The sequence below is a fragment of the Homo sapiens genome, chromosome 3 (genome assembly GCF_000001405.40).
Source record: "Homo sapiens chromosome 3, GRCh38.p14 Primary Assembly".
In the NCBI taxonomy this organism is placed as follows: Eukaryota; Metazoa; Chordata; class Mammalia; order Primates; family Hominidae; genus Homo; species Homo sapiens.
In genome coordinates this window covers 126,725,845-126,747,457 of record NC_000003.12, presented here as the reverse complement: position 1 = coordinate 126,747,457, position 21,613 = coordinate 126,725,845, and the positions used below count along the sequence as shown (strand labels likewise).

The following is a 21,613-nucleotide window of genomic DNA, read 5'->3' as shown; positions in this document are numbered from 1 at the left end:
ACTGCAGTCTAGACATTCTCCTAGGCACTTAATTTTATCTCACTGAAACCCCATACTAACCTTATGAGTTGCACTATCATCTCACTTTACAGCTGGGAAAACCGAACGTGTATGGAGATATCCCAGATAAGCAGTAGAAATGAGCTGCAAATACAAGTCTCTCTTAGGATAACTGCAAAGTCACACGCAATTACAAAGAGCACACCAAGACCCAGATCATCTGAGTAAAGATCTTTTCCTGGGCTTCAGACCTCAGTTAGAGAAACTGAGGCATCACCAGCAGCTCCCGAGAGGGAGAAAGGAGACGAGATGAAGAGAAAAACAAAGACAGCTCCAAAAGCTTAGGCTGTCTCGGAAGAGAAGCAACCAGTAGTCCCAAAAGCCCTGTACACAGCCATGAAAGCTGAGATCGGGGCAAAAAACCCAGGGCCAGACAACTCAGCTGAGGAGAGGCTCCCCCAGTACTCCCGGGCCACCTCACAGCCCCACAGCACCCAGGCTAACCATGCTGTCCTTGGTGCCAGCAGAGCGCTGCCTGTGCAGCCACGGATTAAATAAAATGTCCTGAAGTGGCAAAGCCCACTCCTCCAGAGTGAAGATTAAGGAAGCACTGCAAACAATCAAGAAGGGGAAAGGAAAAAAAAGGAAAACCTGCCACATGCCAGGCTGCCTGGAGTTAACAGCCCTACATATTTCTCATCAAAAACCTCTTTGGAAGAGGTTAAGCACACAATAGGCTATCGAAAGCACCCGCCTCGCGGCTGCTTGAAATTCCACACATGTGACATGGCGGTGTATTTCTATTAATGTCCAGTGTGTGTCAGCACGAAGATAAGGTGCCGACATCATGTCCAACCAGTCAGCTAGAGAATGGGCCCCGTGTTCAACATTGTCTGACACCTGGGAGCCCCAAGAACAGAGGCTCTTGGGCGGATCCTGCCCTGGATGCACTCGCACACCAAGCGCCACTGCTGCCAGGGGAGATGTAGAGAAGGAGCAGGCCCAAGGCAAGGCAGGGCTGCCAGGCCTCCTGGGAACCACTACACACAAGCAGAAAAAACACCAGAGGCTGTATGTGTTAGGGAAGGCACCCAATCAACAGGGGAAGAGGAGAGAGAGCAGGGAGTCTGCATCAAGAAGAGGAAAGTCATGACTTTCCCAGCAAGGCTGCCCAGGCCATGCCCGCTGTGCGAGGCTGATGTGCAGGTGCTCCCTTCCCTGTGGGCACAAGCGCAGAGGCAAAGGCTCCCAGTAGAAGCCACTCCACAGAGACTGTCACTCCCAGTGTGTCTAGTCCCAGCGGCCTCAGAGCTTTGTTACCTGATACGTGTCATGCAAAAGGCTTTGCCACATACCTCTACTCTCCTCAGCAATACCCCTAAGCCACCCTGCCCAGCCACCCAAGTCCTAGCCAAGAACAGAGTACCAGAATCCTCCAGAGAAGCCTCGCCAAGATTTGATAAGGAAGGAGGAGATGCCACCAAGTGTAGGGGGCAGGGAGTGACTTGACTCTGCTAAGAACACACCCAAGTGGGCAGGAAGCCAAGCACCCAGGGTTCCCTACCCACTTAGCCTCACAAGCCCAAGGTCAGTGAAACAAGCCAGTCCTGGCATCAGCAAGAATGCAAGCCCAGAGACAGCAGCCCTGAATAGCTGTATCTCCTCTCCAAGCACAAATTAACCTTAAGAGTTAGGAAAGAACAACTAGTGGGATCTGGAAGGTCTGTTTTAGAATTAAGGCTACCTGGTGGGGAGGGGTGTACTCAGGGGCCTCCGAAGCCTGAAGCCAACCCAGGTGGAGGGTTAGAACATTAGCAACCTGGTAACAGCCAGCATTCCTGCACTCAAAAGCACTCTGTTCGCTGTCCCTTTTTTGCCATGGTGGAAAATCACTACCCACTTCTATCCTTTAGACTCTATTAGTCACCCGTGTAGCTCCTCTCCTAGTGCATTTTGGGGGAATTTGGCATAACAGAAAGGCAAGAATGTATTGACCACCTTCCATCTGCCAGACCATGTGCTGAAGGCTTTGCTCACATATTATGAAAGCATGCTAACAACTCCAGGAGAGGTGTGCCATTTGACATGTGAGGAAACTGAGGCTTGGTTAAATAATGGGTCCAGGGTCACAGAGACAGTACCTGGGGCATCTGAGCCCAGGTGTAACAGAGTCCGGACGCTGGGCTTCGCTAAGCCACAAGGCTATGGAAAGTGCCCTCGCCACCTGACCAGCATCCAGTCCCTCTTCCCTCTTCTTTAATAACATAATCCTGATTTTGTTTGGGGCAGTCACGTGTCCAGGTAAAACTGCTCACTATCCCAGCCCCCCTTTTGCAGCTAGAGGTGGCCCTGCGACACAGTTCTGCCAACGAGAATCCCAGGGAAGAGTGTCCCTCCCACACCCATATAAAATAATAAAACTTCACTAGAACAAGGCTCTCAGCCCTTCCTTCTTCCTGACTGGAAAATTGATGTGATGGCTGAAGGCACAGCAGCCCTCTGCCACCACGAGGAGAGCTGCACTGAGGACTGCCAGTCAAAAAGACAGGAGGTCCCAGCCTGGCCAACATGGTGAAACCCTGTCTCTACTAAAAATATAAAAATTAGCCAGGTGTGGTGGTGCACGCCGGTAGTCCCAGCTACTGGGGAGGCTGAGGCAGGAGAATCACTTGAACCCAGGAGGCGGAGGTTGCAGTGAGCTGAGATCGCACCACTGCACTCCAGCCTGGGTGTCAGAATGAGACTCTGTCTCGGGGAGAAAAAAAAAATACAGGAAGTGATTGGATCCCTCTGAGGCACGAAGCTACCATAACCACCTGGGATGGCTGCCCCTGGTGTCTTGTTCATGGGAAGAATACACTTCCACTTTAAGCCACTGCCAACTGGGCTTCCATTACTCACAGCGAAAGCTCCTCCTAGCTGGTGCATGTATTGGTCTACCCAAGTGCACTCAGCTCATAGCCAACACACAGGAGATAGGGCCCTGGCTCACCCACCAAGTAGACAAAGGTAAGGGAAAGAATCGGACTTTTCTCCGGCAAACACTTGTTGATGTTTCTCAGCCAAATAACCCTTTTCGATTCTATACCTTGCCAGTAGCCAGCAATGGCATCTCCCCAAGAGGGCAAACACAATCGGCTTGACAAATTGAAAACATTTTTCCACAAAAAGGAAAAAGCAGAATGGTAGCTCCCCAAAAACCATGTGAATAAATTGCATAAATAGACTTAAAATAACCAAGACCCTCCCCTCTCCCCAGCCCTACTGGCATCCTAGAGGCAAGCATAGAAGTGGGAAGGCACCAGCCCAATTTCACTCTGGCAGGAGAGAAAAGGAAAATATACTGCTGTCAGGTTGTCCTAGGGCTGTAAGGGCTGCCCCACTTGATCCACACACAGAAGAGTGGCAGGGCTGGTGGGCACTGACCCGAAGGAAGAGGAGCAGGGGTACAGCAAGCATGGCAGCAGAAGGGGTGGTGCTACTTCCTCTGACTACCTGTGCCCTCACTGCCAGCGCATACCATCTGATGCGAGCCAGGAGGGATGGCACCGATCCAATCAGGTTTCCCTACAGTATTAGGTTCACATATGACCACGTAAGACCTCTGTTCAAAACAAGAAACCCCAAAACTCTCAGACTGGCCTGGACTTCTCTCAAGAACAAAGTAGGAAGTCAGGGACGGTGTCACCTGCTGCTCCAATGCCACTCTCAGATGGCTCAGATCACCCCTCCAGTTGGTGCAATTTTCAAGGAACCCTGCTGCTCTGTTCCCTTGGGCTCCAGTGGGCACTCAGAGGCCAAGGAGCCTAGCTGAGGTCGGCAGCCTGGACCCTCAAGAGGCTGAAGAGAAAGCACTTCTGCACAGTTTCTCCAGCCCCCAGCCCCAGCTGTCAGCCTCTTTAGTCATCCCTGGTGCTAACAGACATTTTCAGAGACATGCGATCTGCTAATTAGAAGCAGTGACACCAGGAATGGAACCGCAATCAGCCATTTGCCTAACAAAGTTAGCAGCTAATGAGGATGTCCAGCTTCTGTCAGCACACAGCAGAGGTCGCCTGAGCCAGGCACCATAGCCAGAGAAAAGAAAACTGAAGGCATCCGCAGACCTGTGATTTGGTAATGGGGGAGGCTCCACAAAATCCAAATAAGCCCAGGTTGCAAAACCCACGTGTCCTTCCAGCTTCTTAAACAAAGAATACACATGCACATCTCCTGCTACTCAAAAAATGTTGGGCTCCCCCTTCCTACAGCAGGGCCATTCTAGAACAGCGAGATTCTGAAATCCCCACACTTGAATCTGAGCAGTCCACAGAGTAACAGCTTTCTTTAAAGAGGAGGAGTCCACAAGCTCCCCATAGGGTTCAAAACAGCTAGAGACTGCGTTTCACCTTCTCCTTGCTCAATGACACCACACAGGCCAGCTTGTCCTGATGAACACCCTCCCCCAGGCACCTCTCCACCCAACCCCACATCTTCCCCCTAGTCCTTCTCCCCACTACCAGGGTGACCACCACCTATCTGATGGTTAGAAATGTATGAAACAGTTGAGGGAAAAACAGGATTTCTTCCACCCCAAATATCTTAGTCCATTTTCTCTTGCTTATAACAGAGGATCTGAAACTGGGTCATTGATAAAGAAAAAGAATTTATTTCTCATAGTTCTAGAGGCTGAGAAGTCCAAGTCATGGGGCTACACCTGATGGGAACCTTCTTGCTAGCTGGGACTCTCTGAGAAGTCCTGAGGTGGTGCATGGCATCAAGTGGTGAGGGGGCTGAGTGTGCTCTCTCAGGTTTCCCTTCCTTTTCCTACAAAGTTGCCAGTCCCGCTCTCATGGTAACTCCTTAATCCATCAACTCATGAATTTACAACTGGATTCAATCCATTCATCATGGCAGAGCCCTCATGACCCAATCACCTCTCAATACTGCCACACTGGGGATTAAATTTCCACATGAGTTTTGAAGGGGACAAATATTCAAATCATAATACCAAGGATACCATCACAATGCACCTAATGAAGTGGACAGGAAACAAGAACACAACAGTTTTCTTAGGGGAGATACCGGAAGCTCAGCCCACAGGTCTATTGGGCCCACCTGGCAGCAGTAAGTAGTAACCAGACCAGCAGCAGCCCTCCTGAGAGTCCCACAAGCCCTTGAGAAGGTTTCTTTCGCTTCTGCTGCATGCCTCCAGTATGACCTGGGCTGTGGCTACCGCTGCTGCAAAGAATTGAGGCTTTGGGTTCTCACATAAGCTGAGCTATTGCTGAATGCAGTGAGTGCCACTCGGTATCACCTGCATCCCACAGCCATCCCTTTGGATTTGGGATCAGAGGTCTTACTACTATCCCCTAAAACGCTGAACCCAGATGGCCTGGATCCCTCACCAAGGGAGTGGTAACACAGACAGCAGATTCTCTTCTCTAGCAGACCCTGGCAGAGAAAAGAGCATCTGTTTCTCTTAGAGGTCAATAAGCCCAACAAAGCTATTCATCTAGGCAGGAGCTGCATCAGGGAGAGGGAGACAAAGCAGGGGAAGCGATCAGAATCACCTGGTACACTTTTCAAACAGTACAGCCTCCTGGCCTGAGGACCACAGGGAGCCACATCCCTGGCAGGAACACTTCACATCCCTGGGGTGACTAGACTGCAAAAAGGGCCAAAAAACACTCTGGGGTCAATGGCTCCCGGCATTGGTCCAGGCACCAGCTTTGGGCTTGCTGCACCAGAATCACATGGGAGGCTGTTAGAAATACATATTCCAGGATCACAGCATCCAAGAGTCTTATCCAGTTGTTTCAGTATCGGATCCAAATATCTGCATTTTTAACAAGTTCCCAGGTGATCCAGATGCACAGCCAGGTGTGGAAGTCAGGCAGTGAGATGAACAGAGAGCCAGGCGACACAGGCAAAAGGGTCTTTCAACAGCAGGTTGAGTAGGAGCAGCCTCATTCCACACCCACACCATACCTCTAGGATGCTCCATGGCATCTGGCCATCAATAAAGTGTTTCTAGGACCCCCACATGACTTCAGCTTCTCTCTCCAGAGAACCAGTCAGAAGCTACATGAACCTCACTTGTTTCTTGACTCCACATCCTTTAAAAAAAAAAAAAATCACTGATTTGTTTTAAGAATGAGTTCACATCAATTCTGTCATGGAGACATGGGTGGAAGTGAAGGAGGAAGAGTAAATCCTAACTTTCCCAACGGCGCACAGCACCGCCTGCCCCTCACCTTGCAGGTAAGGCAGCATCATAGAAACACGAAGGAACCACAGTGATGGAGGCCGTCTGAACACAGCTGCAGCCTCACAGCCCGTGTTTGTCCAATACACCACTCTAGGATAACATTTCTAACATTTTGTGACACCAGGCACTGTACATATATGTTCCTCATTTGGTCCTCACCACAACCCGGCCAAGGCAGGCATCACTACTGCAGCAGTGATGAACAGAGGGCCATCCCTGGACACAGATGCCAGACTCTCAATCCCATGACCGAACACCATGTCTGGTTTCTACAGCCTTCCTCCACCCTCAGTTTAGATAAAATATACAGGAAATAAATCAAAGTTCATTTTTGGTGTGTGATCAACTAAAAGGATTAAGCCAGTTTTCATGTAAGCTTATCTACAGTTTTCCTTTCTCCAAAATTTGTCACATCATATAACCACCAAGGCCAGGTTAAGTGGGAACCCAGGAGGCCTCACAGTGTCCCTTTCAACTAATTATTCCAATTCTCTAAACTATAACCTGCCACCCTTGTTCTCTGAGCAAATGTGAAGGTGAATGGGGCATGCAGATGGGCAGATGTGTGGCACAGCCCTTTCTACCCAGTGTGTGGACCCCTGCATATTCTATGGAAGGATTAGCCCTGTACGTTAGCAGCCATGTGGGCCTGGACATTCAGAGCAGGAGTGAGGTCAGTCCCATCACTTTGGCCTTTTCATTTTCTTTGGGGTGTGAAGGGTGCTCTAAAGGTGATGACAACAAACAGGGTGCACTAACTCTGGTATCAGTTATGAGAATTTTCTTAATTATTTTCTTAAAGATAAAGCAGGAGAACTGAATGAGACACCTTCCCTCCACACATTCACCCAAGGCACCAGTGCACAGGGCCTGCTGAAGTCTGTGAGCAGTGCAGCAGAATGGAGAGAAAGCCCATAGGCACTCCAGGCCTTCCACTGACCACCAAGCAACAGTAGTCTGCAGCTGCAGGAGGGACAAGGAAGGACCCTCAATCACAGACAAGTAGGGCCTATAAAATAGTCTGGTGGACAGTCAGGAAAACTTAGATGAACCCTTCAGGTACTCAGGTCCTAAGCCCTGACAAACAGAATGGGTTTGATCCCACCCTCACATATCATATTAATAGTTTGAAGCTGAGGCAACACTACAGCCCACATTCTACTCAACTAGGCTACTCAACCTCCCACACTAATAGCCTGTCAAAAGAAGGAGAATGGCCATTTCTGGGCATAAACACTATTTTCCTCAGTCTCTACTGGTCTCCTGCATATGATGACCAGCACCAATCAAAAACTACAAAGCACATAAAACTGCAAGCAAATGTGACCCAGTATCAAGAGAGAAAATAGTCAACAGAACCAAACCCAGAGGTGACCAAGGTGTTGGAACTGTCAAATCGAGACTATGTTTAGAGGATCTGCAGGTGGGCAACATATGTAAAGAGATGGGGTATTTCAGCAGAGAAACAGAAACTATTAAAAAAAAGCCAAATGAAAAAAGAACCAGGAATTAAAGTAGAAGTTAATGACTTTTCCCATACAGCCCACTGGGCTGTCTCCAGAAAAATCCTCATTTTACATATCAGAAGACTGAAGTTGTCAAATACCAAGACAAGAAACCTCTCACAAGAAATAATAGCCACTAAGCAACTTGGACCACCACCAGTGCTCCCACCCGCTAGTTTCTTGAGACACCTGGGTACTCAGAGAGACTTAAAAAGTTAAAATCTCTGGAGCTGCATAGTCTAGTCCAGGAGAGGTTTTTTGCCCACCAGTCAAATCCAGTACACAGTCTCTTTTTGTATGGCCTCTGAGCTAAGTATGGTTTTTACATTTTTTAGGGTTGTAACAACAACAACAACAAAGAATATGTGGCAAAGACCACATGTGACTGCAAAGAGTAAAATATTTACTATCTGGCTCTTTATAGAAAATGTTTGTCAACCTCTGATCTAATCAAAAGACTAAGCTCAGTAGACAAAAGAAGAGAAGAAAAAGTAAAACAAGGAAGTAAAGAAAGGGGCTATGGATGTCATGATTTTTTTCTCCCATTTATGCCTTTTACCAGTCATCTGAGCACAGGCAATGCAGATCTCCACAGGATTTTCAGATCTCCACATAACACTCACACTGGAGGAGGTATAAGGGACAAGGCCACCAGAGTCTCCAGATCACTAAACTTCTAAAACAGCCATGCCAAACAGCTAGACCCAGATATCAGGACTGCCTTGGCTGAATGTCAGGTAGTATACTTCACAACCTCTGACCAGAATTCCCAAAGCCCACTCTCTCCCTTGTTCTAAGAAAGATAAACCTAAAGTCTGTAAGACTCTGACTAGGAGACAAACATCTTTTTAGTTGACTCCCAAATATCATTATAATGAAAGCCTTTTTAAACTTTGTTTTGTTTTGTTTTATTGCTTGAAAAGGGTCAGACCTTTGAATTGTCACCCATTCTATAGAAGGCTGTGATGGGTGCTTGCTTCCAACTATTAGCAATGGGGCACTGCAATGGGATCACGAGGGAAAGATAACAGACGACTGCACAGCGGGCTTCAAAGCAGTAACACATCCAAACCCTCACCCACTCAAGATCTGCCATTTAATCACCATTCACTGCCTGTCTAGAATTTGCTCAGCACTACAAAGACCAAAATGATCACACCACAGTTCTTATTCTCAAGGAGTTTATAATCTGAGGAACAAGACAATAAAAATGTAGGAGAGGACTGTTAGAAAGGCTACAGCTGTAGTAAAACCAAAATCAATCCTCCACCTCCCTCATAATTTTAGAAAATTGCAATTCAAAAACTTTGAACATCTTAAAGTCATGATACAGTCGGCCACGGGGTATTGGTTCCAGGACCCTCCACAGATGCCAGAATCTGTGGATGCTCAAGCCTCTTACATAAAACGACATAGTACAGTGAGCCCTCTGTATCTGTGGACTTCGATCCACAGTGGGTTGAATCTGCAGATACGGAAACCCGTGGACAGGGAGGGCCAACTGTATCCAGTTCACATAGCTAAGGTGGCAGCTACCTGGAGCATCTGGGCATTGAAGAGAATGAAATAGTAAGAGATCAAAAGTCCTCTGCCACCAGGAGAACAGGACAGGACAGCTACTCTACTGGTGGGATCCTTAGGTTAGAGGGGCACATCCAGGGACGGAAGCACTCTTGTTACCAAATCTTCAGTGGGAGGATTTGACCTTAGCTTCTTGATTTGCCACTGAAGTATTTTCCTAGTGATCAATGTCCAGCTGTCTCCTATTTATCTCTTTTGAGGTTCAGAAAACCATTCCACAGAGCTCCCCATCAGACTTTCAGGATGTCGTTCCACAACCGCACCTACACTGTGGGCCCCTCTAGCCTCCCCACCGCCACACCCTGCCGCTTCCTATAATCCAGCCAAAGGCCTCATCCTCCCCAAATGCGTGGCCTTTGCTCAAGAGTGCCCCCTATCTGCAGCATCCTTCCTCCCTCCTCTCCACCTGGCAAATTCTATTCATTCTTCAAGATCAAGCTCACATTTCACCTCCTCTTAGAATTCATTCCCACCCTACCAGGAAGTATCAGGTGGTACTGCCTCCTTGCTCCTCGAGTGTCTTCCTGTCCCTCTGGGATGACCCTTGCAACGCTATGTGGTCACTTCTGAGAATGTTTAATTCTCCTAATAAACACATCTTCTCAAGGTCAGAAGCTGTCTCTTATTTCCATTTATTAGGAAACTAACCCAGTGCCTAACATATAACAGGAATACAGAGTATGTGTGTGTGCATTTGTGTGCATATATATATATATATATATATATATATACTCACACATCATAAAATAATAAAAGAATTGCTCAGCAACAAAGAAAAGAAAGTTTTTGCTTTCTTGGGTTTTTAGATGGAATCTCACCGTGTCGCCCAGGCTGGAGTGCAATGGCGCGATTCAGCTCACTGCAACCTCCGCCTCCAAGGTTCAAGTGATTCTCCTGCCTCAGCCTCCCAAGTAGCTGGGATTCCAGGCATGCACCACCACGCCCAGCTAATTTTGTATTTTTACTGGAGATGGGGTTTCACCATGTTGGTCAGGCTGGTCTCGAACTCCTGACCTCAAGTGATCCACCCACCTTAGCCTCCCAAAGTGCTGGTATTACAGGTGTGAGCCACCGCGCCCAGCCAAGAAAGTTTTTGCTTTCTATCAGGTGTACTGTGTTATTACATACCTAATAATATGTGTCAGGAAGCAACAGGCAAGGTTGTAAATCTCATTCTCACCTAAAATAAAGCCTCACCCAGGACTTGATTACTCCATCCATTTGATTTTTAAGACTCCACCCATCAGAAGACTGAGATCAACAGCATTGTTCTTTTTATTTCTTCCCAGAATGTTTGATTTGGACTCCTACTTTCTCCATCAACTCAGAGGGAGAAACACCTCTCACAGGATCCAGTGACACCCATGGCCTTCACTCAGACCAGAACCAGGGCACCACCAGTGACAGCAAACACACATTGACACGCACAGAACAGTTCATCACTGCTGCACTAGATGGGAAAGGGCAACACTTCTGTCATCAGAAGTAGGTCAGAAAAATTATTACCTTTCCTTGTCATTAGTTTTATAACTTTTCCCAATAATAAGATGGACCAATCCCTTACGCAGAAGAGGGTTTTAAAATCAATATTGGAAAAAGTCAGAGGCAAGTGAACAGGGTGGAAGAGCACATTACATATTAAGCGGCACTCAGTACAACAGGAAATCCTCTAGATGAGGCTACAGGTTCACAGGGAGGGCTACAGGGGTAGCCAAGAAGGCACCTAGGAGGAGTGGGCAGACAACTCATTCTGCTGGCGACCATGCAAGTTCCATCTCAGGACCAACCCTCCTGGAGGGCTAGAAGGATGTGCTGTGATCCACACACTGCCACACCACCAGTCCCTTCAGCACTCCACGCAGCAGGCTGCCAACTAGCCACCTCCTTCAACCTTTCCATGCGGAAGATGCAGGAGAGGAAAGAAAAATTTCCCTGCTTTTGTTAGGTTCTTCTCTCCATCTTTCTCCTCTTATTTAAATCTTCCAGAATATAGTTTTGAAAATACAGTTTTACCTCCACTAAAAGCACTCCCCAACCATACCAACCCAAAGGGAGCCCCCCTTCTTTAGAAGCAATGGCCATAGCATCTGCTCAGCATTTAGTTGACTGCCTTGGTTATCTGTTAACTTACAGAACAATGCCTAGTACTATCTTCCCTTCTCCTCTGTTTGTACTGAGTATTGAATATGGTTGTACACCTTCAACATCATCTTCTGTAGCACCTCCTATAGGAGATGCCTTTCCAATAGCATCAAGCAATAGAAGCCAACTTCAGCTTACTTAAGCAAAGGAAAGTTGACTGGCAGGTCATCAATGGATGATCCAAACCTCAAGAAGGCAGGAGGACCAGACAGAAACCAATGGTACCCTGAAAGTGTAGGAGATGGCAAAAGATATAACCTCATAGCATGAAGGGGCTGACTGCAACACCTGAGAGACAATGAGGAACTCCCATCCTGGCCTCCTGCCATTCCTCTATACTCACTCAAAACTGAAGGTCCTCAGGCATGAGGTGCAAGCTGGCTAAGCTTGCACTGTGCCCAGATCCAGCTTCCACAGAGGAATTACAATCCCACCAAGTCTACACACAGCAGGAAACAGGAACACTCCCAAAAGGAAACTGGAACACCAGTTGCATTGAGAAATGAACGCTGAGCAGTCAGAAAATGAGAATGCCCATGAAAGTAGTTAAATGTTTTTAAAATGAAGGAAGTAACTTATGTCACTATTCCCTAAGAATTCTGGCTCAGAAAAGGGGATTATTATCCATCTAGAGACCTGAGGGGGATGGGAATCAAGTTCTTCCCCAAGGGATAGTCCTGAGAAAGCGGCGCTCAATCTCCTTTGCAGGAGTAAGAATGGGAAGCTGTGAATTCTTTCACTGTAATTAATACATTCCAGGTGAGAACGAAGAGACAGCAGACCTGTAGGTTGTAATCTTCCACCTCTAGAGGAGGCCAACTTTTCCTGCTCATGCCATACTGATTAACGCGTCATCTCCAGGATAGGGGTCCTTCTTACTTGGTTGTCAGGCTGCCTGCAGAGGGGTAACAACCCATCTGCCTCTCAGAGACTGACTGCAAGAGCCTCTGAAGGCATGCCCTGGCCCCGGTTTCTCACTGCATCAACCGATTCCTCACCAGGATGCCATGGGGTTCTAAAAGCACAAGTCAGATCTCATCACTCCCATCCTTACAAACTTCAGGAACCATTGACTGTTTCAGGATCGATGCGGGCTACTTTGAGGGTTAACTCCTCAGCACATCCAAGGCCTTCTAAAATCCAGCTTCAAACCTCACTCTTCTCACTGGATCCGATCACCTTCTCAACACCTGCCTCTCAGCCCAACTGCCCCTCAGCCTTAAGGCTGAGTTTAATGCCGTCTCTGATCTACCAGCTCTGATCCACCAGCAGCTTATACATTTGCATTTCCAAATCTTTTCTTCAATTTAACAACTACTGTAACCAATCTGGCCTTTTTCAAAGTTCTTAGTTTGTCTTCTCCACAGACTAAAACTTCCCGAGGGCTAGGATCCTACATTGTTTGTATTTCCCAGAGGGCCTGGTTCAAAGTGCATTTATGTGCCTACTGCACACTTCAAACATTTGTGTAGTCATCAAATTAGTAAGCTAAGGCCTGTGCCCAGCCAGCATGTCTGGCCTCCCAGGAGAGCACAATCCCAAATGATGCTTTCACATCGTGTTCAACCCCCTTCTACACAGCACCGTGTGTACGAGGCTACCCACCTAAAGTAGTGCAAGGCTGTTCCTGGTCTCAAACCTCATGGCCTCCAGCAGATGTTATTAGATGCCGCCCACAGCCATGCTTCCCTCCCCCAACTTCCTTGCTGTCAGTCCTAATTCTAGCTGGATATGCAACCTCCCTAATGTGACTAGAAAAGAGCCCTAGCTGCAGTCAGTGGAGCCCTCTGTATCCCCTCTGCTGAGGACTGGCTTAGCCATGGGCACCTGGTACAATTCAAGCCAGTGTGATGTAAGAGGAATTCTGCCAGGAGCTTCTAGGAAAGTTATCCCTGTGATAGAGACACAAGGGTCGGCACAGCCTCTCTTCTTCTACTGAGGGTTTTACTGTCTGCATGGGACTTGTGGGGCAGTAACAGCCTTCATTAACCATGGGGACAGCCTGCCTAGGATGCACTGGCACACTGTGGATGGCAGAGTGGCAGGAAGAGAAGCACCAGGTCCATGATGATGCTAGTGAGCCACTGAATTAGTCAACCCTGGGGGCACTTGAGACTTCTCATGTTGCAAAATAAATGCTGCACTTAAGCAAAAAGATCCTAATAGCCACCCATCACTTAAATGTATTAATGATAACAACAATAGTGCACTCCCATGGTCTGCCAGCATGTGCTAAGTCCTGGACAAATACTATCTCCTCTGATTCCCTGGGCAGTCCTGTGTGTAAACATCACGAACTTCAAGCAAGACTCACAGACAGGGTGTCCAGGATTTGCACCCAACCTGCCTAACTCTAAAGATGATGCCCTCCCTGTCATATATTACATGGCTCCAGGCCTCTAGTCCTCTGCCCTCACACGCTCCTGACACACATACCACTGCAGCCCTGACATCTGTGAAGTTTCAGAGCTAAGTGAGACTGTTGAGTGGTCTGGTCCCTTACTGTGTAGACCTGAGGCCACAGAGACTGCAAAAACATGCCAAAGGCAGCAAAGCAAATCACTGACAGAGCCAGGGCTGGGAGAACCCCAGTTCCTGGCTCCCAAAAGACCCTTTTCCACAGAGGTGAAGCCGAGCACATCCCAGGGGCAGCCTGAGCCAGCAGGGCTTCAGACTAACCAGGTGCCAGGGCCCGCCCCCTATTTCCCAGGGTGCTGCCCAGCTCAGAAGGCCAGATCAGGGAAAATCTGCACTCACCAGCCGGACTGACTTCTGCTCCTCATGGCTGATGCTGCCTTCGCCCGTGGGCAGGGATGCCTTGGAGTGCTTGGTGGCAGCCTCTCTTTCCCTCTTTGCCACCTGGAAGAGCTTATCCTGGATAGCAGCATGCTCCTGTTCATACCTGTGCAGAAGAAACATGAGGAGAAACAGATGTGGATGGCATGACGGGCAGCCCATAGCCAAGACAAGATCTGCGCACTCACTTCAGCCACCAGGGAAATGCTGAAACCAGCCAGCGGCTGGTCAGGAAAGGAGAGAGTGCTGTGAAACCGCATGCCCCATCATTCCACACCCAAGCTCAGGCATCAGTGACAGCTCCCCAGACAAGAGGAGACAATGACACTGAGCCAAGACAACACAGCTCAGGAACAGGAGGAGACCTGGCCAAGTAGGCAGCCCCATGCCCAGTGAGAGTCTCAGGGAGGGGCTCAATCCACGGATTGCCTCCACTTGAGAGCTTGAAGATTTGAGATGGTAGTAGTCCTCTGTTTTGAACATTTAACTCTTCATTCTGAATATCTTCCTACCCTTTGACCTATTTCTGGGCATTCTGCCTAGTAAAATAATCCTATAGAGAATAAAAAAGTTATTAGTGCTGAGATGCTCTTAACAGTATTATTTATTGTAGTGAAAAAAATGCAAGCAACCTAAATGTCCCAAAATCAAGGTCAAGCTAAAGAAAATATGGTGTGATCATATAATGATCTATGACATCATCACTAGAAAATAGTCTTTCATTTGTCTGTAGGTTGAATCTAAAAACTGAGAACCAATAAATGCTTTTAGCAATAAAACTGCTTATAAAGCAGGTGCAACTAATGACAAATCATTATAATACTAAGTGAAAATAGCAAGATATGAAATTATCTATGACATTCAAAAAATAACCCTAAACGGGGGGTGAGGGGACTGGGTGGAGAAGAACATGAAATACTCCAAAATATTAACAGTGGTTGTCTTGAGATGATGAGTCTATGGGTGATTTTTTCACTTTGTATATTTTCTAAATCTTTCATTAGCAGGCATTACTTTACCATTTTTAAAATGTTTAAAAGTACCAAAAAAGCAGGGTTCAGGTTAATAGTTGGCTTTTTTTCCTCTTTTTTTTTTTTTTTTTTTTGGTTTTGGGTCTCACAATGTGGTCCAGGCTGGAGTGCAGTGGTGCAATCATAACTCACTGTAAACTCCAACTTCTGGGCTCAAGCAATCCTCCCACCTCAGCCTCTTGAGCAGCTGGGACTACAGGCATGTGTTACTACCCCCCAGTTAACGTTTTTAATTTTTTTGTAGAGACAGGGTCTCACTATGTTGCCCAGACTGGGCTCAAACTCCTGACTTCAAGCAATCCTCCTGCTTTAGCCTCCTAAATTCACTGGGATTACAGGATTGAGCCACCACACCTGGCCAGGTGAGTTATTCTTGCTAAGACCGATTAGGGAGAGTAAATCTTAGAATGTGGGTCTTAACCCATGGCTATGCAACAGACCCAACATGGCTGAACTACTAGAGGGCAAACGCCCAACCATGGCTGACACTGGGCCCCCTAAGCTGACCCACTGGGTCCTCTGACCATACTGAGGGCAATTTCCTCAAGGATGCTGAAGAGGTCAATCAGTAACAACTACTGTGAGCATCCACTGAGAACTCTGTAGGCCAGGTGCTGTGCTCATGTGCATGATATATATAAACATATTTAACCATGACAAGATCCCAATTAAAGAAGTACTCTTCTTAGCCCTTCTTAGATGCAGTGATATTTCAAGTTCACATAACTAGTAAGTTGCAGGATCAAGATGCCACCCTGTGCTCCACTGGGGCCTCTGTGCCTTAACCACTTTGCTAAAACTTCTCCGGCGACAGGAAGCAGGTCCCATGACAGAGGTGTGGCCAGCTCTTGGGGTCGTGGCCTGTGCTCACAAAGTTACCAACATCCTGGAGCCAGTTCATCTGGACAACCACAGTTAGCACTGGGAGGGCTCCACTTCCTCATCTCTCTAAAAACATGCCTGCATGTGCACACACATGCAGAAGTTCCAGCCACTCAACTGTTTAGTCCTAGCTTTTTTAAATGATTTTTTTTTTTTTTTTTTTTTTTTTTTTAGAGACAGGGTCACCAAGGCTGGAGTTCAGTGGTGCAATCACAGCTCCCTGCAGCCTCAGCTTCCTGAACTCAAGTGATTCTTCCACCTCAGCCTCCCGAGTAACTGGGACTACACAGGCACACACCACCACCCCCAGCTAATTTTTTATCTTTTAGAGACAGGGTCTTGCTATGTTGCCCAGGCTGGTCTCAAACTCCTGGCCTCAAGCAACCCTCCTGCCTTGGCCTCTCAAACTGCTGGGCATGAGGAACATTAACAATCAATTCCCCTATGCCCCTTTTGGTGTTTCTACATCTTTAAACTAGGACCAGTGATACCTATACCATAGGGTTGTCCTTCAATGCAACTGAGATTAATTATGTGAGACAAAGCCTCCAGGGCTTCAGGCAAGGAGAGGGGTACCCAGTGAGGAAAGAGGCTTTTAGGCGGAGCGCAGTGCCGGGAGCAAGCAGGCTCTCGGGCTCACCTCTTGACACCCTCCTTCATCCCTGAGGGCTGCTGGCCACCACTGCTCCCCGACCTGGGCAGTGTGGATTCTGCAAAGGAAAGAGAAGAAAGGGCCTGTCAGTGGCACCCCAGGGTCCACGAAGTCACAGAGGTCACCCAGAGAGGAATGACCCCCATGAATGAATGTGCCCCTTGGAAGGCAGCATCACAGATGTGTCCCCACAAAGGAGCGTCCACAGGGGCAGACAAGGAACACCCTTGATTCAAGCTGTCTGGAAAGCCAGATGATCCAAGCCACCTCTTATCCCGAAGGGGTCTCTGCACCAGGATGCCCACAACACTGGGTGCAGTGTTCCAAACCCATCCCTACTCTCCTGACAATTATTTGGAATCCAGGTCATCTCCTAAGCACAGGCCAGGAGTGGCTGCGGGAAGGTATTGCTTTGCTTCATGAGGACAACCTCCCGGGTAGAGGTTTTGGCATAGGGAAGGGAAGGGGTGGGGGCTCTTTAAATCTTGTTTCCCTTAGTACCCACCTGAGTCTGCACAATCCTCACTGTGGCAAATGCCCCATATTAAACCTAATTCTACTTAACCACTATCGCCTTTAGTATTATTGGGCTCTTTTTGTTGTTACAGTAGGTCCCTTTTGATCATCACGAATTTCGGGATTTCTGAGCAAATCCAATTCACTCTCCCCACCACTTGCTGATACTGAAGGTTTTGTTACTACCCTGTCCCCAGCCTTTACCCTTCCAAAGCTCTCTGTCAGCCAAAGCTCACCACCTTTCTTGGCCTTCTCCGATGTCCCACACCTCCCTCCACCACAGGGTTCTATGCACCAGCAGCCAGAACCACATAGAGCATAACATAAGAACCAGGCTGTGTGAGGCGCTCAATGAGGGTGTGCGACTCCACCCCAGACCCGTCAGGGATCCTTCGGGGGGCACTTCTGAAAGCATCAGCTGTGACTACTCGCACTTTCAAACCACCTCTCATGGGAGGAGAGCACCTCCCATGCTCCTCAGCAACACACCAGGTTCTCAACTGAGGTGAACTCAGGAGCCTGCTGCGGGGTTTCATCTCCACACTAGTGCTCGCCATGCTTATTTATTTGTCTGAAGAGCTTTACTGAGGTTTAATGTCTGGTATTTTTGCTTTTTATATAATTTTCCATTTTTTAACTACAAAAATAACGGGGCTGCCAATGTAGAGCATGTGGCACTCATCCTCACTGCCCTTTCTGTGTGCCCCTGCCCGCTCCCCGCTCCCTTGGAGTGCACATTGTTGAACATGTGTTTCTTTCAGTATTAGTGACGTGGAGATCCTGTCATGAGTATGGCCATCTGTGCACATTTCCTACTGAGTTGTCTTTCTTAAAGATCTTTAAGAACTCGCTACATATTAAGATTACTAGGACTTTGTCAAATGTTATATTTTCCCTAACTTATCCATTCCTGTTACTTCTTTTCTAAATTGTCTAATTTCTTATATTCACATTTCCTATTTTTTTTAATTTAAGGTTTCTTCGTTTAATATGACGTGTAGAAAATCTATCTTCTATTGTACTTTCATGGCTTCAAGCCATACATTTCAATCTTTTATTTCCTCTGACATTTTTGGGGGGTATAGTATGAGAAGAATTTAATTTTAATTTCTTTTTCTAACTTTGTTCCATCACTAAAATAAAGCAAAAACTGGTTTTAAAAGTACAAAATATCTTAAAATTAGTTAACTTTAAGACAGTCCATTTATGCTGACTCTTCAACATTCAGAAACAAAACTTACACCTATCATTTAAACAGCAAAGTACTTTGTTATAATTAACTCCAAGTGACAAAAGAACCACTGTTCTTGCTTTCTAAACTGCTGGAACTTACCAAACTGAAGCAAATGCTTCTTATTTCTTCTAAAGCTGAAACTGATGTGTAGTATTATATATTATGGCAATTTTCGCTTTTATCATCACTTTCTCCCTCTTTCGAGTTAATCCAGTTTGTTAAAGTGCATTGGGTCAAGTTAGACTCCTCTTAAGCCCTTCTCATCAGTTAGTTAGAGCCAGCGTGGGGAGTAAGTGAGCCCTATTAGTAAAGGACAAGGGCTTCTTGGAGGGTTTTCGGGAATCTCACACATCCCCTACAGTGGTAGATATTCAGAAAGATCTTGGGGTGGGTCCAAATCCAGGTGCTGACTGGCTCCTGGGCAATGCTTCTAGGCCCCCGAGCAGGCTGGGATGCACCCTGTCGCCGGACCTCCGCTCCTGCAATCTGCCCATTCGCAGTGCCCACCCACCACCATTCCTCCTGCCTTTCACAGTCCCTCTTCTCCCGTGAGCCTGGTACAGATTCCAGTGTTGCATCACAACATGACACATAACTCATCAGTCTCCATAACCAGAGCCAGGTGTGCCATGAGAGAGGGTCCCTGCCCACCTATCACTGTGTCTTGGCACAGGGCACAGGACTTGGTTCTGGGTGGCCTTCAGTAAACACTAAGTGGGCAGGATACAGCTCTCATATTCTAAACTCTTTCAACCCAACAGGGAAGATGAGTAGAAAAGGCAACTGTAACGCGAGACCAGGCCCAAGAAGAACAATCTAGTGGGTGGTTATCCACCTGAACAGTCGGTCCTTCCGTGGTGGCATGCTGCCTCCAGCCAATCTTTTTTTTTTTTTAATTGAGTTACGGAATCTGATAGACAGACCCAAGTTCTCAAAAACAAGTATGTTTTGAGCAGTTGCTCCAAGGACTTTTTTATTTTGTAATATTTTAACATTTGTATGCCTTAGAACTTTTTTCCTTAAAATTTTATTTCCTTGTGTTTGCTACAAGTCGTTATTTGGGGAAAGCACAAATTTCTTCATTTGCAACACGCACAATACAGTAGGGAACAAATCAGCTTTGAGCCCGGCTTGAGCACCAGCTTCACAGTGGGCCAGGAAGAGGAACTCCTAGGACCCCTCCTAGAAGCCCAGAGGGAACCATTCCAAGGGCCAGGACAGGAGCTCTCGGCCTGAGGCTCAGGTGAGGGCTGCTGCGGTAGGCGCCTAAATCACTGACGGAATTCTCCTATACTTGGCCCTGTTCACGTGAATCCACATCATTCTTTGACTTGGGAGTTAGGCTAGAGTGGCTGAAGCTGAGTCATGGCTATGCCGCCTCTGAGGAGCCTTAAAGGCAACTTCTTTCCTGAGCTGTCAACTCAGGTCCTTCTGCCTCAATTCCCACATGGAGAAAGTGGCACAGAGGGAAGGTGGTCCGACCCGAATCCCGGCAGCTCTGATGACAGCCCCATCACTCCCAGAAAGCCATGCTCTTCCGGAAAGCCCTTACCAGACAGAGCTGCTTAACGTCATCCAGAAGCCAACCTGAGCCCTGTGCGCCATCAGGTGGGCTCGGGTGAGCACCCATCACTCCTTTCACTGTCTCTCCACACTCCACAGAACTGTCACAATCCCCATACCTTTGTGAGGGGCTCTCAAGTTGCCATCTTGAAGGCCAAAGGTAGAAGATGTGGGAGCAGGGGGTGGAGAGCTGGGCTCCTTCATGCGGTTCACCACGTTTTCAGACAGCTAAGGAAGCAGAAAAGAGGGAAAAGAAAAAGTTATGTCACAGAAGTGCCTGGAAGCAAAGCCTCCTCTTTATTCAGGCCCCAGATTTACTGAATGCGCTGCTTCCTCAAGACCAACTCCAACAAAGCAATTCTACTAAAACTCCTCTCGTGGTGGCCCAGTGCCTACCAGGTCCATGCTGAGCCCATCCGGATTCCCAAGCCTACCAATATATGTCCCCTGCTGGCTTTGCGGCTTTACCCCCACCACTTCCCTCCACACACCCAGTCCTCAGGGGAACCTGATGTCTCACTTTTCTCACCTCTTCTGAATTCAGGCATGCTCTTCCCTCTGAACCACCTCCAGCCCACCACCTCCCTCTCTGGGACATCTCCACCCATCCAAATCATATCCTTTCTTTGGAGGTATCTCAATGTCCCCTTCTCCAGGGAAGGCTGCTCCTCGACAGCATGCAAGTGAAGCACAGGTACCTCCTTCTATCACATTTCTCTTTATTCCACTTTGCAGATAACACATTTTTTTTTTTACAAGTTGAAGGTCTGTGGCAAGCCTGCATCAGGCAAGTCTACTGGTGCTGTCTTTCCAACAGCATGTACTTTGTGTCTCTCAGTCATGTTTTGATAATTCTCATGATACTTGAAGCTTTTTCATTGTTATATCTGTTACAGTGATCTGTGATCAGTGACATTTCATGTTACTCTTGTAATTGTTTTGGGACACTGAGAACATTGTCCATGTAAGACGGCGAACTTAACCGATAAATGCTGTTGTGTTCTGATGGCTCCAGCAATGAGCCATTCCCCGACCCCTGTCTCTCTCCCTCTCCTTGGGCCTTTCTATCCCCTGAGACACAACAAAATTAGGCCAATTAATAACCCTGCAATGGCCTCTAAGTGTTCAAATGAAAAGTCCCATGTCTCTCACTTTAAATTAAAAACTACAAATGATTAAGCTTAGTGAGGAAGGCATGTCGAAAGCTAAGATAGGCCGAGAGCTAGGCCTGTTGCACCTAACAGTTAGCCAAGTTAGGAAAAGTTGTTGAAAGAAGTTACATGTGCTACTCCTGTGAACACATGAATGGTAAGAAAGTGAAACGGACTCACTGCTGATATGGAAAAAGTTTTAGTGGTCTGGATAGAAGATCAAACCAGCCACCGTATTCCCTTAAGCAAAAGCCTAATCAAGCCCAAGGCTCTCTCTCTTTTCAATTCAGTCAAGGCTGAGAGAGGTGAG

General features: G+C 47.4%; 1 protein-coding gene across 2 annotated transcripts in view, besides 2 other annotated features; it reads right to left on the bottom strand.

The window, feature by feature from the left end:
- The window catches only part of CHCHD6 (coiled-coil-helix-coiled-coil-helix domain containing 6), a 256,181-nt gene that overhangs the window by 212,963 nt on the left and 21,605 nt on the right, over positions 1-21,613 (bottom strand). For both annotated transcript variants that reach the window (NM_001320610.2, NM_032343.3), the window contains exons 2-4: positions 20,272-20,380; positions 16,828-16,897; positions 14,236-14,380 (exon numbers count right to left, since the gene is read on the bottom strand). In NM_001320610.2, coding sequence (NP_001307539.1) covers positions 14,236-14,380; positions 16,828-16,897; positions 20,272-20,380 — 324 coding nt within the window. The remainder of the gene's footprint in view (positions 1-14,235; positions 14,381-16,827; positions 16,898-20,271; positions 20,381-21,613) is intronic.
- Positions 413-1,112: an enhancer, noted in NCBI's record as "H3K27ac-H3K4me1 hESC enhancer chr3:126465189-126465888 (GRCh37/hg19 assembly coordinates)". NCBI's record gives its function as "activates a minimal SCP1, AML or CMV promoter by ChIP-STARR-seq in naive H9 embryonic stem cells {active_cell/tissue: H9 hESC(naive)}" and the evidence as "EXISTENCE:reporter gene assay evidence [ECO:0000049][PMID:30033119]".
- Positions 658-952: an enhancer, noted in NCBI's record as "tiled region #10778; HepG2 Activating DNase matched - State 8:EnhW, and K562 Activating DNase unmatched - State 8:EnhW". NCBI's record gives its function as "activates a minimal TATA promoter and a strong SV40 promoter by Sharpr-MPRA in HepG2 and K562 cells {active_cell/tissue: HepG2 | K562}" and the evidence as "EXISTENCE:reporter gene assay evidence [ECO:0000049][PMID:27701403]".